The sequence below is a fragment of the Homo sapiens genome, chromosome 10, assembly GCF_000001405.40.
Source record: "Homo sapiens chromosome 10, GRCh38.p14 Primary Assembly".
Lineage (NCBI taxonomy): Eukaryota > Metazoa > Chordata > Mammalia > Primates > Hominidae > Homo > Homo sapiens.
Genome location: NC_000010.11, coordinates 103,968,098 through 103,985,890, shown reverse-complemented (window position 1 = coordinate 103,985,890; position 17,793 = coordinate 103,968,098). Strand labels below are relative to the sequence as shown.

General features: G+C 36.9%; 1 protein-coding gene and 1 pseudogene across 4 annotated transcripts in view, besides 2 other annotated features; one reads left to right on the top strand and one right to left on the bottom strand.

The window, feature by feature from the left end:
- The window catches only part of SLK (STE20 like kinase), a 62,094-nt gene that overhangs the window by 43,343 nt on the left and 958 nt on the right, over positions 1-17,793 (bottom strand). The gene's annotated exons all lie outside the window — the stretch shown is intronic.
- RN7SL524P (RNA, 7SL, cytoplasmic 524, pseudogene) lies at positions 11,077-11,376 on the top strand (annotated as a pseudogene).
- Positions 13,879-14,378: an enhancer, noted in NCBI's record as "H3K27ac hESC enhancer chr10:105731271-105731770 (GRCh37/hg19 assembly coordinates)". NCBI's record gives its function as "activates a minimal SCP1, AML or CMV promoter by ChIP-STARR-seq in primed H9 embryonic stem cells {active_cell/tissue: H9 hESC(primed)}" and the evidence as "EXISTENCE:reporter gene assay evidence [ECO:0000049][PMID:30033119]".
- Positions 14,379-14,880: an enhancer, noted in NCBI's record as "H3K27ac hESC enhancer chr10:105730769-105731270 (GRCh37/hg19 assembly coordinates)". NCBI's record gives its function as "activates a minimal SCP1, AML or CMV promoter by ChIP-STARR-seq in primed H9 embryonic stem cells {active_cell/tissue: H9 hESC(primed)}" and the evidence as "EXISTENCE:reporter gene assay evidence [ECO:0000049][PMID:30033119]".

The following is a 17,793-nucleotide window of genomic DNA, read 5'->3' as shown; positions in this document are numbered from 1 at the left end:
AAGTTCCATACTGGTTTCATATTCTAAAAAAATTACACCCTCATATTACTCTTGTTTGAACAGAAGGTATTCCCTGGGTGGTGAGTACAGGAATAATTTTTAAATCTTCATTTATTTTCTTTCTATATTTTTACATTTTCTAACATTATATAGTATTTCATAGTGAAGAATATATTTTAATAAAATTTTTAGCTGGAAACTGAAAGACCAGCACAGAAAACAGAGATGATTTCAGTCCCACAGAGGTGTTAGTCAATCAAAGGCAAACAAACAAACAAACAAAAAATATGTAAGATAAATACAAAAGGAATCTAAAAAACAAGGAATAAAAAGAAAAAATAATCACTGGGACTGATTCTATCAATCTGGTTGATTTCATCTCAAGGCTGAGGTATTCTTCCCCCCACCAAAAGAAGAAGAGCCTAATTGTCCAGTGTGTAAGAACATTTAACCATAAAATGTAAAAACTAAACAACTCAAATTGTTCACGAACAACTCAAAATGTTCATGAACATCCACTACAAGGCACTGGTCCAAGCTGCAGAAAACACAAAGACAAACAACACCCCAGCGAAATGTGCTCTAGAAAAGAAACGTAATACAGCCGTCCCCTCTATCCCCAGGGAATACATCCCAAGACCCCCAGAGGATGCTGGAAACCTTGGATAGTACTAAACCCTATGTATACTATGTTTTTTCCTTGCATACATACTTATGATAAAGTTTAATTTATAAATTAGGCACGGTAAGAGACTAACAACAATAATAATAAAATAGAACAACTGTAACAATATACTATCATAAAAATTATGTGAATGATGTCTCTCAATACATCTTACTGTACTGTACTCACCTATTTTCAGACTGCAGGTAAATAAAACCATGGAAAGTGAAACCTCGGATAAGGGGGAACTACTGCATAAAAATCTATTAAAAATCTTGGTCAAATCTTGACCAAAAGAGTTGATCTGCTGAAATCCATTCATTCTTCCAACAAATACTTACTGAGTGCCTTCTATATGTTAGGTTACTGTTCTAGATGCTGACAATGTGCAAATATGCAAAATCTCTCTGTGCTGGGGTACTTACAATTTTGGGGAGTGGACAGTCAACAAATAAATCAGTATATTAGCAATTAGTACTGTGGGAAAAAGTAAACTAATAAGAAAGATGAGAAGGCTGAGCGCGGTGGCTCATGCCTGGAATCCCAGCACTTTGGAAGGACGAGGTGGGCAGATCACTTGGGCCCAAGAGTTCGAGACCAGCATGGACAAATGGCGAAATACTGTCTCTACCAAAAAATACAAAAATTAGCACGGTGTGGTGGTGCACGCCTGTAATCCCAGCTACTCAGGAGGCTCAGGCACAAGAATCACTTGAACCCAGGAGGGAGAGGTTGCAGTGAGCCAAGATTGCACCATTGCGCTCCAGCATGGTTGACAGACTGAGACTCTGTCTCAAAAAACATAAAATAAGATGAGGAAATGGGGTATGAGAGCACACAGGCCAGAGTTTACAACTTAAATAGGGTAGTTAAGTTAGGTCTAACCGAGGTGATATTTGAGCATATTAATATCAATAAAATTCAATGATTATTTTAATGTTTTTACCTATATAAATTGGAAATATTAGTATTTTGCAAAGAAATCAGTAAGAAAAATCTCAAATTATTTCAAGTATGTTATCGTATATAGTAATATCCATCGTGCTATTAGAAGAGGCACTGTTCTCTGCACTTTCCATTTAGTAACTTATTTAATCCTTGTATCAGTTAGGGTCCAGACAGGAGGAAAATCACATTGATTATTTTAATAGAGAAATTTAATAAAAACAATGACTAACTCTGTTGCCAACTGAAAAAATAATACAAAGGATCAGGGAGGTAACAACTACAGGCAAAAGCTACCACCCCTAGGACTATGGGAACAAAGGGAAAAGATTGGAATTATTAAAATTCAGAAGCTTGGAGGAAGGGTTCCACAGAGCTGAAACTCAGACGGACCTCTGAGGACAGAGTGCTGCTCAGCTGGTGCTGTTGTCTCTGAAGAGGGGTCCTGTGAGACTGCGACCCAAACTTTTGAGGAACAGGGTACCAGCCAACTGGTGCTGGTGTTATGAAGGGTTATGATGAGGTTAGTTCTGTGAGTGTTGGAAAAACTACAAACTGTATTCAACAGCTGCTACAGAAAGAAACTGCTGATGCTGGAGCAAAAAAAAAAAAAACCTCTACAAGGGTGATGGTCAAAGTAACAAGCAGACAGGAAGTTCACAGGAAACAAGACAAAGGTGTAAGTCATTTCTTCCTCCTTCTCCTTGCAGCCTCCCTCTAGTGCCCTATACTTTTGAAACAGAAATGAGCTGCTAGCAAGGCAGAAATGTGATCTGCAGTCTTTGAACCAGCATCACAAAGCATAGAAGGGCGTATTTGGAACTGAGATTAAGAACTGGCATAATCCTTCAAAACCTATGAGCAACACAGATGGGAGAGCTAAGGTACAGAGTAGAGTAAACGTTTGGGTAATAAATATCCAAAGTTCCAAAAAGCTATTAAGTGAAGAGAGAGGAAACCGCACTGAAGGAAGCATATACTTTTAGACTGTTCATACTGTTATCTGTTTTAAATTACATGCAAATTATGGTGATCTTTTCAGTCCTGCTAAGATTTTGGTAGGAACAAGTATCAATATTAAAAAAGAATAAAATCATTCATCATCATTTAGCAAACACACAGAGTTAATTCTCATTATTTGTGGTAGTTATGTTTTATAAAATCACTGCAAGCACTGAATTAGCGACTACTGAAACATTGTTCATAGGGAAAACCATGCACATACACACACCCCTCACATAGATTATTATATTCTTAAATCCTGAAAACAATTCATCCAGGGAGATTCTCCTTTCTTTATTTTACAAAAGAGAAATGAGGTGTATAAGTGTTAAGTGACTTGCGGAAGGCCATCCCAAAAACAGATGTCAGACTTGGGATTCAAACCCTATCCAACTGGCCCCCACAGCCAGACCTTCTTGCACTTCACTACACTGCCCTCTGCTGTCTCCGTCCTCTGGTCATCTCTTCATGAGAGGTGAAATCAAGGCAGTGTCACCTTGTTCAAGTTTAGCTGGGAATGTGCTTGCTAGAGGAGTCAAATTTTTTTGCAGCTTTGCGCATACACACAAATAACCAAGTAAGTGCCGCAAGTATAGATTTTAGGACTACAAGTAAACTTTAACAAGTAGGCAAATTCACAAATACAAAATCTGCAAATAATGAGGATCGACTGTACATATTCTTTCTGTAATTTCTGTAAAATATTACAGAAATTCCAAGGATTATGTCATTTCCTGAAATCTGCAAAAGAGAAAGAAATATACTTTATATTCTCCTTATATTTTCTTCACATTCCCAAACTCTATTTTATTTATATTGTTCTGGTTAGGTATTCAAAATTTAGTCACTGGTCAGTCAAAATATAGCAACAAAATGGTGTCAGTAATAAGTTAAATTTGGCTAAGTCTGCAGTTTCCAAAATGTTTTACCAATTCTCAGATCACACAGTTTTCCTGCTTATTGCAAGGACTTATTGACTCTGAGCAGCATGAATATGCAGAAACAAACACAACTGTGTAATAAAGAAGCTGAGGAAATGTGCATAGATTGCATAGTTGGAAAAGATGAAAAACAGAACACAAAAAGACAATTTCAAAAATATATTTTAAAATAAGACAAAAAATGTACCACGTCTGGAAATTAATTCAAGAAAAATAAAGACTTTTAAATAGTAAGGAAAACAATCCCATTTACGATAGCATCAAAGAGAATAAAACACTTGGGAATTAACTTAACCAAGGAGATGAAAGACTTGTACAATGAAAACTAAAAAATCAATGCTGGAAGAAATCAAAGACATAAATAAAAACACATCCCATGTTCATATATTGGAGGCCTAATATTGTTAAAATGTCAATACTACCCAAAGCAATCTACAGATTCAATGCAATCCCTATCAAAATCTCAATGACATTTTTTGCAGTAATAGAAAACCCTATCCCAAAATTCACATGGAATCTCAATGGACCCTGAATAGCCAAAATAATCTTGAAAAAGAACAAAGCTTGAAGACTCACACTTCCTGATTTCAAACTTACTACGAAGCTACAGTAATCAAAACAGTGCAGTCCTGAAATATAAACCAATGGAATAGAGACCAGAAAAAAAAAAACTGGCATATATATGGTCTAATGATTTTTGGCAAGGGTTCCAAGACCAGTCAATGAGAAAAGGACAGTCTTTTCAAAAAATGGTACTGGGAAATCTGAATATCCACATGTGAAACAGTGAAGTTGGACCCTTACCTAACACCATAAACAAAAATTAACTCAAAATGGACCAAAGAAAAACCTAAATGTAAGACCTAAAACTATAAAACTCTCAGAAGACAGCATGAGGCAAAAGCTTTATGATACTGGACTTGACAATGAATTCTGAGATATGACACTAAAGCACAGGCAACAAAAGAAAACACGGAACTGGACTTGATGAAAATTGTAAAATGTTATACATTTTAAAAGACAATATTACAGTAAAATGGCAACCTATAAAGTGACAGAAAATATTTACAAATCATGTATCTGATGAGGATTAATATCCAGAATATACAGACAACTCCTAAAACTCAACAACAACAACAACAACAACAAAAAAAACCCACAACTAGCCCAATTCAAAAATAGGCAAAGGAGCCGAACAGGTATTTCTCCCAGGAAGATATACAAATGGCCAATAAGCACATGAAAAGATGCTCAACGTCACTAATATTAGAGATATATAAGTCAAAACTATATAAGTACCACCTTACACCCACTAGGATGACTATTACTTTAAAAAAGAATGAAAAGAACAAGTATAGGTAAAGATGTGGAGAAATTAGAACTCTTGTGCACAAATCGATGGAAATGTAAAATTGGTACAGCTACAGAAAACAATATGGCAGTTCCCCCAAAAAATTAAAAATAGATTCCTACAAGATCCAGGAATCCCACTCCTGGGTATATACCCTAAAAAACTGAAAGCAGGGTCTCAAAGAGATACTTGTACACCCACGTTCGTAGCTAAATACACAACAGCTAAAACATGCAAGCAATCCAAGTGACATCAATAGATGAGTGGATAAGAAAAATGTGTATATACATACCACAAATATTATTCAGCCTTAAAAAGGAAGGAAATTCTAACATATGCTATGACATGGATGAACCTTAAGGCTCATTACGCTAAAGGAACTAAGTCACAAAATGATAAATACTGTATGATTCCATTTAATGAGGTACTTAGGATAGTCAAAATCATGGTATCAAAAAGTAGAAGAACAGTTGCCTAGGGCAGGAGGAAGGAAGAAATAGGAAGTTACTGTTTAACACGGTAGAGTTTCATTTTAAAAGATAAGAGGCATGATGGACAGACAGTGGTGACAGTTGCACATTACGAATGTATTTAATACCACTGAACTAGACATTTAAAAATCATGACGATGGTGAATCTTCACAGGATATAAAAAATAGTCAAGACAGTAAATTTTATGTGTATTTTACTACAATTAAAAAATTGAAAAATAAATGTGCACAAATTTTGTAATTTCAAAATAAGCATTAATAAATAATCATTTGTTTTGCTCTAACAATTCTCCTAAAAATTTAACCTAAGAGAATGTCATGGAAATATACTATGTGCGTACGGACATCCATTATATGATGGAAGCATTGCAAAGCAGTAAGAAAAGGACGGTCTTTAAAGTACATGGTGCTGGGACAACTGGGTATCTACATAGAAAAAATAAAATTCGGTCCTTACCTCACTCTATAAGCAAAAATCAACACCAGTTTAATTACACACCTAATGTAGAAGGCAATACCATAAAACTTTACAAAGATAACACAGCAGGATATCTTCACCATCTTGGTTAGGAAAGAATTTCTTAAGACAAAAACATTAGCCATGTAGGGAAAAGTTAATAAATTGGACTATATTAAAACTTAAAATGTCTACACAAAAAAAGAAAATCCTAAAGAGAGTGAAAAGATAAACCACAATGCAAAAGAAAATATGTGCCTCATATATAACGGACAAAGGATAAGTATCCAAAATGTATAATGACCCCCATAAATCAATAAGAAAAAGAAAGAGAGCCCAAAAGACTTTAACAATCACTTCAGAGAACAGGAAATCCAAATGGCCAATAAACATATGAAAATGAGCTCAACCTCATTAGTAATCAGGGACGATATTACTTCACATCCATCAGGGCACAGACCAAAAAAAAGCAGGCCAGAAAAAAGATTCTATCAAGGTTAATTTAAAGATCCAAAATCAGATATGGTATGCTAGTTTCTTGGCCATTCTTTATAAAACTTTGGCAGGATACTCTGAAATAAATTATGTAATATTACTTTATCTTTAAATGTGAATAAGCCATATCACAGATCTTTAAAATTTTAAGAGACTTTATAAAGCTCATGCCATACAACATACCAACTGGAAATAAAACATGCTTTACAAGCAAAAATAAAATATCTTGGCTGGATACGGTGGCTCACGCCTATAATCCCAGCACTTTGGGAGGCCAAGGCAGGCGGATAGCTTAAGCCCAGGAGTTGGGGACCAGCCTGGCCAACAAGGCGAAACCCCATCTCTACTAAAAAATACAAAAATTAGCTGGGTGTGGTGGCGGGCGCCTGTAATCCCAGCTACTCCAGAGGCTGAGGCATGAGAATCACTTGAACGTGGGAAGCGGAGGTTGCAGTGAGCCAAGATCGCGGCACTGCACTCCTGCCTGGGCGACAGAGTGAGACCCTGTCTCAAAAAAATATTAAAATTAAAATTAATAAAATATCTTGATTTCCAGTACATTTCTTTAAAATTGAGATGCTAAAATGACAACATACAAAGAGAAATGAAATTTATTAACTTTGCTCACACTTTCCAAGAAAGGAGGAAGGGATGGAAGGAGGGATGATTCAAATACCTTCCCTTTCTAAAGAAAGCACTCAAATTAACTAATATTTCAGCATTGATTTATAGGAAGAAATGTGAGCTGATAAGCTGGTAAATTGGAAAAGTTGATCATCTTATAAATTAAAAGAACAATAAAATATTGTTTTTATACTCCATATGTACATTCAGTAGTTATATCCTTACAGATAAAAAACACGTTAGTAAGAAACACAGGGATATAAAATAAATGCCCTGGTCTTGACATTTTTCTTCCCATTATCTTGAGATGAGATTATCACTTAAAAACTACTTCTGAAAATGATTGCTCTTTAAGGAAAAAAAATATATATTCACTGAATCGATTAGTTCTTTTGTTAAAATTTTTTCTGAAATTTCAAAACCATCTCAGTTCTCATTTTGGTACATAAAAGTGACAGATTTTTATAATAAAAAGGCAACATTTCATACAGTAACAGCAATAGCATCTTATATTCAAGCAGAAGTGTACCTTGACATAGAGACACTGGCAAAATAAGAATTAACTGCTTCTGTTACAGAGTTATGTTAAAGATCTGTGTGAATTTAAATACAGATTTACAAATAAGAAACATGGGAATAAAGTAATATGCCACTTTATCTAGAAGTCTATGTCAGCACATAAACAATAACTTTCTGGTAGAAAACAGAAAACTAAGAAGGAAAGTTTAAAACTTTAAAATTGTGCCAGAAAATATATTATAAAATAATTCACTAAATTACTAACATTTCCAATGTCGAATTATTTAGAATTGTTCAGGAAGGATTAATCAACATAATTAGACAAGTGAAAAAAACAAAGGTACAAATACTTGAAAGAAGAGAAAATCCTTAAGAAAATGAAAAAGAGAAACAGATAATGAATGGATAAATGGATGAATGGATGGATAGACGTGTGTAATAAAGTCAGTATAGCAAAATATGAACAGCTGTAGAATCTAGGTAGTTGATATGTGTATGTTCTCTATACAACTTTTTTTACATATCAACATTTTTATAGGATTGAAAAACTTCAATGTTGAGGGGAAAATAAACAATAAGAGCACTCAATAAGGTTAAGATATTATAGAATAGTAATTAATAGCTTTCTTATATCCAAACAATAATTGCAAAACATAATGGAAGAACTATCCCATTCAAAATAGTAGCTGGAAAGATAAACTATCAAGGCAAAAATTTAACAAGGAAATGCAGAACTTATATGAAAAAATATTAAAATTTTAAGAGATAATAGTTGTTTGCTGTTGTTGTTTGAGACGAGGTCTTGCTCTGTCACCAAGGCTGGAGTGCAGTGGCACAATCACAGCTCACTGCAGCCTCCACCAAGTTCAAGGGATCCTCCCACTTCAGCCTCTCCAGCAGCTGTGACCACAGGTGAGTGCCATCATGCCCAGCTAAGTTTTTTTACTACTTTCCGTAGACATGGGGTCTCGCTATGTTGCCCAGGCTGTTCTTGAATTCCTGGGCTCAAGCAATCCTACTGCCTCAAACTTATAAAGTGCTGGGATTACAGGCATGAGTCACTGCACCTGGCCAGATAACAGTTTTTATTGAGGTTTTGGGGCAAGCAAAAATAGAGTTTGTTCATTCTGTTTATTTTCAACCTTTGTTTTCTAATAAATTTATTTTCTAATTTAAAAATACCTCTATGGATCAGGAAAAAGAATTAAATAAATGAAAAGCAATCTACATTGTGGAAAAAGGACCTCATATCCTACAAATCATTAAGGAAAATATAAATAACCAAAAATTTTAATAGACAAATGAATAACACAGATGAATCCTGAAAAATTACACTCAACCAGTGGTGCTGATTTTGCCATCCAGGAGACATTTGGCAATGTCTGGAAGTATTTTAGGTTGTCACAAAGGGGTAGGGTCAGGGATGCATCCTACAGTGCATAGGACAGCCCTCCACAAAAAAGGATTATCCTGTCCAAAACGGCTGTAGTGCCAACACTGAGAAACCCTGTGCTAAGTGCAAAAAGCCATACATATTAAGAATACATATTGTATGTTTCCACTTATTAAAAAATTCTAGAAAAGGCAAAATTACAGAGCCATTCCGAAAGCAAGTAAGGGCTATCTTGAGCTTGGTGTGGGAATAGAGACAGACTGCAAAATAGGCACATGAGAACTTTCGGGGGGTGACAGAAAGCTTCCAAAGCTGGATTGTAGTAATGGCTGCAAAACTATACAGATTTACTAAAACTCACAAAATTATATGGGTGAATTTTGTGGTATATAAATTATACCTCAAAATAGAGCTTTTTTTTTTTAATTGGGCAAATAACCAGGAATTCCACCAAAAAAAGATACCCAAATATTGAATAAGCACATAAAAAGGCACTCAACTTCATTAGTCATCAGGAAAATGTAAATAAAACCACTTATACTCAACAGAATGGCTAACAAAAAACATTAAAGATAATATTAATAACAATACCAAGTGTAAGTGAAGACACAGAGCAACTGGGAAAACTCCCATACCCTACTGATGGGAGTGTAAATTGGTACAACCGCTTTGGAAGATATGTATAACCTATGACCTAGAAAATTCCTTCCCGGTATATATCCAACAGAAATAATGGCACATGTGCACCAAAAGGCACAAGAATATTCATGAATCGTATTTTTTGGTTTTTAATTTAAAAAATTTAAGGCTGGACATGGTGGCTCACACCTGTAATCTTAGCAATTTGGGAGGCCGAGGTGGGCAGATCACTTGAGCCTAAGAATTTGAGACCAGCCTGGGCAACATGGCAAAATCCCGTCTCTACAAAAAATATAAAAATTAGCTGGGCATGGTAGCAGGTGCCTACAGTCCCAGCTACTTGGGAGGCTGGGGTGGGAGGATCACCTGAGCCTGGGGAGTTGATCGCGCCACTGCACTCCGGCCTGGATGACAGAGGTGAGACTCTGTCTCAAGAAAAAATAATAATAATAAAACAAATAAAGATGGGGTCTCCCTATGTTGCCCAGGCTGGTCTTGAACTCCTGGGCTCAAGTGACCCTCCCACCTTGGCATCCCAAAGTGCTGGGATTACAGGCGTGAGCCCCTGCACCGGGCCGTGAATCATATTTTTAACATACAAAAAGTGAAAACAATCCAAATACTACAGAATGGATAAACTATAATATTTCATAAAATACCATAAAGCAAAGAAAAAGATCAAATTACTACTACATGCAACAACATGGATGAAACTCATTCATATAATGTTTGGCAAAAGAAGCCCAACACAAAGGAATATATTAAATGATTACAGGATTAAAAGAATCATGTAAATGATTATATGAAGCCCAAAAACATACCAATAAGACTGCAGTAGTCTAAGAGATGATAGCAGCTTTGACTAGTGAAATGACAGTGAAGAAAGAAAGAAGTATTTTTGAGAAATATTTAGTAGGTAGAATTAACAGGCCTTGGTGTTTAATTAGGTTTGGCGGGGAAGGCAGCAACAGGTGTTAAAAATGACCTCTAGGTCTCTGGCCTATGCAACTGGTAGATGGAAGTGGTAATTACTGAGTGGGAAGACAGAAGGAGCAAATTTGTGACTGACATCATGAGCTGAATTAGTTCATGTTTTGGACTTGCAGTTTAAGGTATCTGTGAGACATCCAAGCAGAAATCTCTAATAGACAGTTGGATGTGTGGATCTGGAGTTCAAAAGGGAGGTCTTAGGGTAAAGATAGAAATTGCACTTAGATGGTAATTGAAGCCATGGGAGAAGACCGGTTCTCTTAAGAAAAGGAGAAGGTGGCCTATACCCAAGCCCTGTGGAATTCCCACACCTTAAAGTCAGAAAGAGGAAGAACCAGCAAAGGAGTGTGACGAACAGACACAGAGGTGGAAGGAAAATCAAGAGTATGGTGACTTAAAAGCCAAAAGACGGGCCAGGTGAGATGGCTCACACCTGTAATCCCAGCACTTTGGGAGGCCGAGGCGGGTGGATCATGAGGTCAAGAGATCGCGACCATCCTGGCCAACATGGTGAAACCCTGTCTCTACTAAAAAAAAAAAAAAAAAAAAAAAATAGAAAAAATTAGCCGGGCGTGGTAGCAGGCACCTGTAGTCCCACCTACTCGGGAGGCTGAGGCAGGAGAATGGCGTGAACCCGGGAGGCAGAGCTTGCAGTGAGCCGAGATCGCGCCACTGCACTCCAGCCTGGGCGACAGAGCGAGACTCCATCTCAAAAAAAAAAAAAGGCCAAAAGATGAACTTTTTTTTTTTTTTTTTTTTTTTTTTGAGACGGAGTCTCGCTCTGTGGCCCAGGCGGGAGTGCAGTGGCGCAATCTCGGCTCACTGCAAGCTCCGCCTCCCGGGTTCACGCCATTCTCCTGCCTCAGCCTCCCGAGTAGCTGGGACTACAGGCGCCCGCCATCACGCCCGGCTAATTTTTTTTTTGTATTTTTAGTAGAGACGGGGTTTCACCGTGTTAGCCAGGATGGTCTCGATCTCCTGACCTCGTGATCCACCCGCCTCGGCCTCCCAAAGTGCTGGGATTACAAGCGTGAGCCACCGCGCCCGGCCAAGATGAACTTTTTAAAGGAAAGAATGGCCAAGTATCTCAAATGGTAATGACAGGTCAAGTAAGATGGTAAGTGTCCCCTGAATTTAGGGACATGAAGAATCTTAAGACCATGGCAAGAGTCATTATTGGGGGAAGTGGTGGGTGGAGGCTGTCAAATAAATAATACAAGAAAATGTCACAGAACTGAAGGACATAAGTCTTTGGATTGAAAGGACCAACCAAGAGCACAGCAAAACGAAAGAAGAAGAAAAGACCTATATCAAAGTACATCACCACGAACAGAGGATAAAAGAAAATCCTAAAGGCTATTAAGAGAAAAAGATGGCAAAGGATCCAGGAAGCCAAATGGCATCAGACATTCAACAGCAACTCTTGCAGCCAAAAGATAATGAATGGAAGAAAGTCTTCAAAACTAACAAATTCTAAATCTTAAAAATTCTTTAAAAACTTACTTTTGAACTAGAATTATATATATTAAGTTGTGACCTTATAATAAAGACATATTTAGACAGGCAAGTTCTTAAAAAATATGTTTTCCATGGATCCTTTCTCAGAAGGCTACTAAAGGTTGTACACAACAAAAACAAGGAGGAAATTCTAACAGGAAAAACAAAGTATTTAAAACATCCTTGAAGTAGTTTGTGTTCCCACTTCTAGGGAAAAAAACTGTAACTCATTATTAAGATAGTAAAAAAGACCTAAACAGAGATAAAACATGCACAGGTGGGAAGACTCAATATCAAAGAGAGGTTAATTTTTCCAAAACTGATTTATAAATTCAATGAAATCTCTCCAAAAAAACACAGATTTTTTGTGGCACTCAACCAGGCTAACTGGAAAATGTACATAGAAGCCCTAAGGGCCAACAATACTACTAAACTATGTTGAAGAAGCAGCAGAAATTTATTTTAATTCTTTCCTAATTAAGACAGTGGGATACTGGTATAGGAATAGACAAATAGATCAATGAAGAGAACGGAGAATGCAGAAACAGACACATGCTACATAACAGGGCACTGCAGAGCAGTGGGGAATTATTTTTCTTCCCAGCAAATAGTTCTGGGACAATTGTGTATCCATATGGGGAAAAAAATGAAACTGGACCCCTACCTCATACCATTTACAAACATCTATTCTAGGTAGATTATAGATCTAATTGTTAAAGAAAAGCAAAATCATAAAGCTTTTAGAAGATAATATAGAAGATTATCTTCATGATCACACATTAGGAAGAAATGTCTTAAACATAACACAAAAAGCATCAACTGTAAAGGAAAAAACTAACAAATTGGACCATGTTAAAGAATTCATAAAAAGACACTACAGTGAGAATGAAAAGACAGGTCTCAGAATGAGACTATATTAGCAATAACTATCACCAGCAAATGGTTAAAATTCAAAACACATATATTGTACACACACACAATCAACATACAAACAAAGACTTCAAGAGAAAAATGGATAAGAGACTTGAACACAAAAGAAGAAATTCAAATTACCAAAAACATATTAAAAGAATTACTTTTAGTAATCTGTGAAAGGTGAATTAAATGCACAATGAGAAATGTAACACATTATCAGCCTGTCAAAACTTTAAAATTCTGACAATATTAAATGTTAGCAAAGATGCAGAGCAAGGAAATTTTTTTTTTTTTTTGAGACGGAGTCTTGCTCTTTCGCCCAGGCTGGAGTGCAGTGGTGCGATCCCGGCTCACTGCAAGCTCCTCCTCCCGGGTTCACGCCATTCTCCTGCCTCAGCCTCCCGAGTAGCTGGGACTACAGGCTCCTGCCACCACGCCCGGCTAATTTTTTGTATTTTTAGTAGAGACGGGGTTTCACCGTGTTAGCCAGGATGGTCTCGATCTCCTGACTTCGTGATCCGCCCGCCTCGGCCTCCCAAAGTGCTGGGAATACAGGCATGAGCCACCGCGCCTGGCAGGGCAAGGAAATTCTTCAACTGCTGGTGGGAATGTAAACTTGTATAATTAGTTTGGCATCATCTGGTAAAATTAAAGATACACTACCCTATAACCTAGCAATTCCATTCCTGGATTAACTCTTAGTGAAACTCATGTATATGTGCAACTACCGTTTTGTGTAAGAGCCAAAAACTGGAAGCAACCAATATATCCATTAATTGTACAATAGTAAATAATTGGTGATATCATCATATAATAGAATACAATGCTACAACGAAAAAGAACTACAGCTCTATGTGATAAAGATGAACCTCACAAACACAATACTGACTTTGAAAGAGGCAAGACACAAAAGAATATGTTCAATATGATTCCATTCATATAAAGTTCAAGTGCATACAAAACTAAATTTATAACATTTAGGGATATAATCCTAGATAGTAAATGATTAAGAAAAGCAAATAAATGAATAACTTAAAGATAGGATAGTGGTTTCCTTTAGGGAGAGAGAAGATATTAGATACAGAAAGGAGGCAAGAGGGATTCTCGGATGTTAGCAGAATTCCTTGACACTGACAGTTGTTAATAATAATTCACTTTATTATCTGCTAAATGTATATGTTTCCATACTTTTTAATACAAAGATTATATATTTTACTATTTTTTAAAAGGCACACAGCCATCAGTTGTCATATAAAAACTACTTTCATCCAGCACACAGCCAAGAGTTTAGTTTCAACTGGTTTAATAGATAAAATAGCTTTCTAGAAATGCAATTCAATTCATAATCTTATGTCATTCTTTTTTTTCTGTTAAAAACAAGAGAAATCCAGCAGGGGGTGAGGGGCAGTGGCTCATGCCTCTAATCCCAACACTTTGGGAGGCCAAGGCAGGCGGATCACCTGAGGTCAGGAAAGACCACCCTGGCAAACATGGTGAAACCCCGTCTCTACTAAAAATACAAAAAATTAGCCCGGCACGGTGGTGCGTGCCTGTAATCCCAACTACTCCGGAGGCTGAGGCAGGAGAATTGCTTGAACCTGGGAGGCGGAGGTTGCAGTGAGCCGAGATTGCGCCACAGCACTGCAGCCTGGGCGACAGAGAGGGACTCCATCTCAAAACAAAACAAAACACAAACAAAACAACAACAACAAAAAAAGAGAAACCCAAAGATAAAATATTGTGAAGGATATTACATATCTTCATTTATATGTCAAATAATACTATTTTTAAAAGAGAAAATAAATTTAAAGTAGTGAAGCTTTTTCAGGCAAGGAAGTAACTGTTAAATGTGTACAGTGCTGGACTGAGTGGAAGGAATACAACAAGTACACGATGGAAGAATGACTCAGACTAAATACACAACATGATTACCTATAGGTTACACATCCCAAATCTGAAAATCTAATCTGAAATGCTCCAAAATCTGAAACTTTCTGAGTGCTAACATGACATGATGTTCAAAGGAAATGATCACTAGAGCATTTTCAATTTCAGATGTTCAATAACTAAGTATAATGCAAATATTCCAAAATCCAAAAAATTCCAAAATCCAAAACACTTCTGGTCCCAAGCATTTGGGAAATGGGATACTCAACCTCATCTCTATTTACAATATAATCTTTGTAACAGTTACTAATTTCTGTAAGCAAATGATAGTTAGAATCAAGTTTATAAACAGTTTTCTACTACATACTACTACGTACTATGTTAAGGTTCCATAGCTTTTTCTTCCAAATATAAGGAAGTTTATAAATCCTCAATTTCTATGGAATCTTGAAAAACAAAAACTTTTAGAAAAAAGAGGCCATAAGAAGACAGATAAGTTTTAATTTCAAATTTTATTTTTTAAAAAACTCATACCCTACTCCTTAGAAGCAGAGAGTAGTGAAATGAAAAAAGAAAAAATAGTGCCAGCCCGTGCTCTTCAAATATCATACTAAAATACAGTCATCAAGATCACAGAAATTCTCCTTGACACAATTTTATAGTGCTCAAATAACTACATGAAATAAGACTCTTGTTCTTCAGAAATTTTTCAATTAATGTCTCAGTACAGGAAGATAGATCACATTTTGCAGAAAGTGTCATGAAAGAATAACACAGGGCTTTAGTATCTCCACACAGTCTGCCCATGCCATTAGAAACCAACAAAATGGTTTATTATCTTCTTGGTTCCTTTCCCTATCTCATCCCAAAGTTTGCATCTATGAGCTCTAAATGTAATAACAGTAATTTCTACCATTTACTGAGCCCTTTCCATGTGCCTTATATTATCTTTTTCAATCCTCACACTGAGGATGTCTTATGGATGAGCAAAGTTAGGCACAGGACAAATAAGAAACTTGCTCAAGGTCATATGCTGCTATTGAGTGAGAGAGCTAAGTTATATTCCAACTCCAGAGCCAGTGCTCTTACTACTAAGCTGTTTATATTCGATAAAACTTATTTACACCATGAAAACTGCCCATAATCACCTACCACCTTCTAACTACAAGATTCTAGGTGCCTTGAGCATTTATTTTTGCCTTTCCAGGCTAATTACATACTCACAGAACTTTAATGGGTGAAAGAATCTAAACTCCTAAGAAAGTTAATATTATGGCTAAGAAAACGGAGGTCCAGAGAAGTTAAGTGTTTTGTCCAGGATTACAACGCTGGTTTGTGACAGCCAGCACTAAAACACAACTCTTGATTCCCAGGAGTGATCTTCCCACTACAATGAAGCCTTGCATCTTATGAAGCTCTTGCTGAAGCCCATACTCTACCCTCCACACAAATAACAAAGCTTATTTTGCCAACTTCCACAGCCTATGATAGCTTCCACGACAGCATTCATATGCAGACAAAACACATTCTTTCATTTCAACAAATAAACAGACACATCACTATACGCTAAGGCAGTGAATGAACCCAAATATGTATCATAATTTTGGCCCTTAATTTTATTATAGAAACATAAACATATTAATTGTAATAAGTGACAAGTGCTATAATAGCCATGTGAACAACGTGTTCTGAAAGCACACAGAGAGGAGTAGATATTTTAGCCTGGATAAAGAATGAGGACTGGGGTTTTGACAAGATGCATTTGAGGCAGGGCAGAGGCAGAAGTGTAATGGTGCTTAGAAAGTAGTAGGCAGCCGGGGACGGTGGCTCACGCCTGTAATCCTAGCACTTTGGGAGGCCGAGGCGGGCGGATCACCTGAGGTCGGGAGTTCAAGACCAGCCTGACCAACATGGAGAAACCCTGTCTCTACTAAAAATACAAAATTAGCCGGGCATGGTGGCGTATGCCTGTAAACCCAGCTACTACGGGAGGCTGAGGCAGGAGAATCGCTTGAACCCGGGAGGGGGAGGTTGCAGTGAGCCGAGATCGCGCTATTGCACTCCAGCCTGGGCAAAAGGGGCGAAACTCCGTCTCAAAAAAAAAAGAAAGTAGTAGGCAAAATGCTCTCATTTCTACCAGTGACTGTTAAAATAAAAAACAATACTAAATATGGGCTCAGAAGACCTGAGTTCAAGTCTAGGCTGAGACTCATGTGACTGTGAACAATTTCAATATCTTCATCTGTGAAATGTGGATACTAATACTGACCTGCCTACCTCACAAGATTTTTGTGGGGGCCAAATTATTTGAAAGTACTTAAAAACTTCAAAGTCCTGTATAAACATAAGTTATTTTCTTACGTTTTCACTTCTAGGCAACCCTGTGGGTCCTTCCCCTAAACGCTGTCTCATAAAAAATTCGCCCTTCAGGATGAAAATACTCCAATGACATCATTCATATGTTCCTTAGGAGATATTAAATAGTTAACATTAATGCCTTCAGGTTGAAACGCCAAGCCTCTTTCTATTGAAATAAATACATGCGTGTGTGTTTTTAACTGCTTAAGCGCTGATACTGACTTCTAGTCAATGCTTACCATAAATATATTTAAAACTAGTACCACATGAAGGTTTTTTGGAAATTTTGTCAGAAATTCCATTCTATTTTATAGTATGCTGTCAAGCAACTAACTCAAGAAGAGACTGCAAGTAGCAATCACTTTGATCCCAACTAGTTCTGTATTAGCTCTAGATACAACCAAATATATATACTGGACCCTAAAAACAGAACTGTTGGAGTACAAGCATGCACGCGAATGCAGTCAGTAGACAAATCCACTGCAAAGTGCAATGAGTTTCTCATTCTAAAATACTTGAAGGGCACAACCAGACCCCTCCTATAAATTAAAGAACACTCTCATTTCCTTTGAAGTTTGAAAGAGTAGACTTTATAACCCTGTCTCCTTTTCCAATCGCTCTTTAA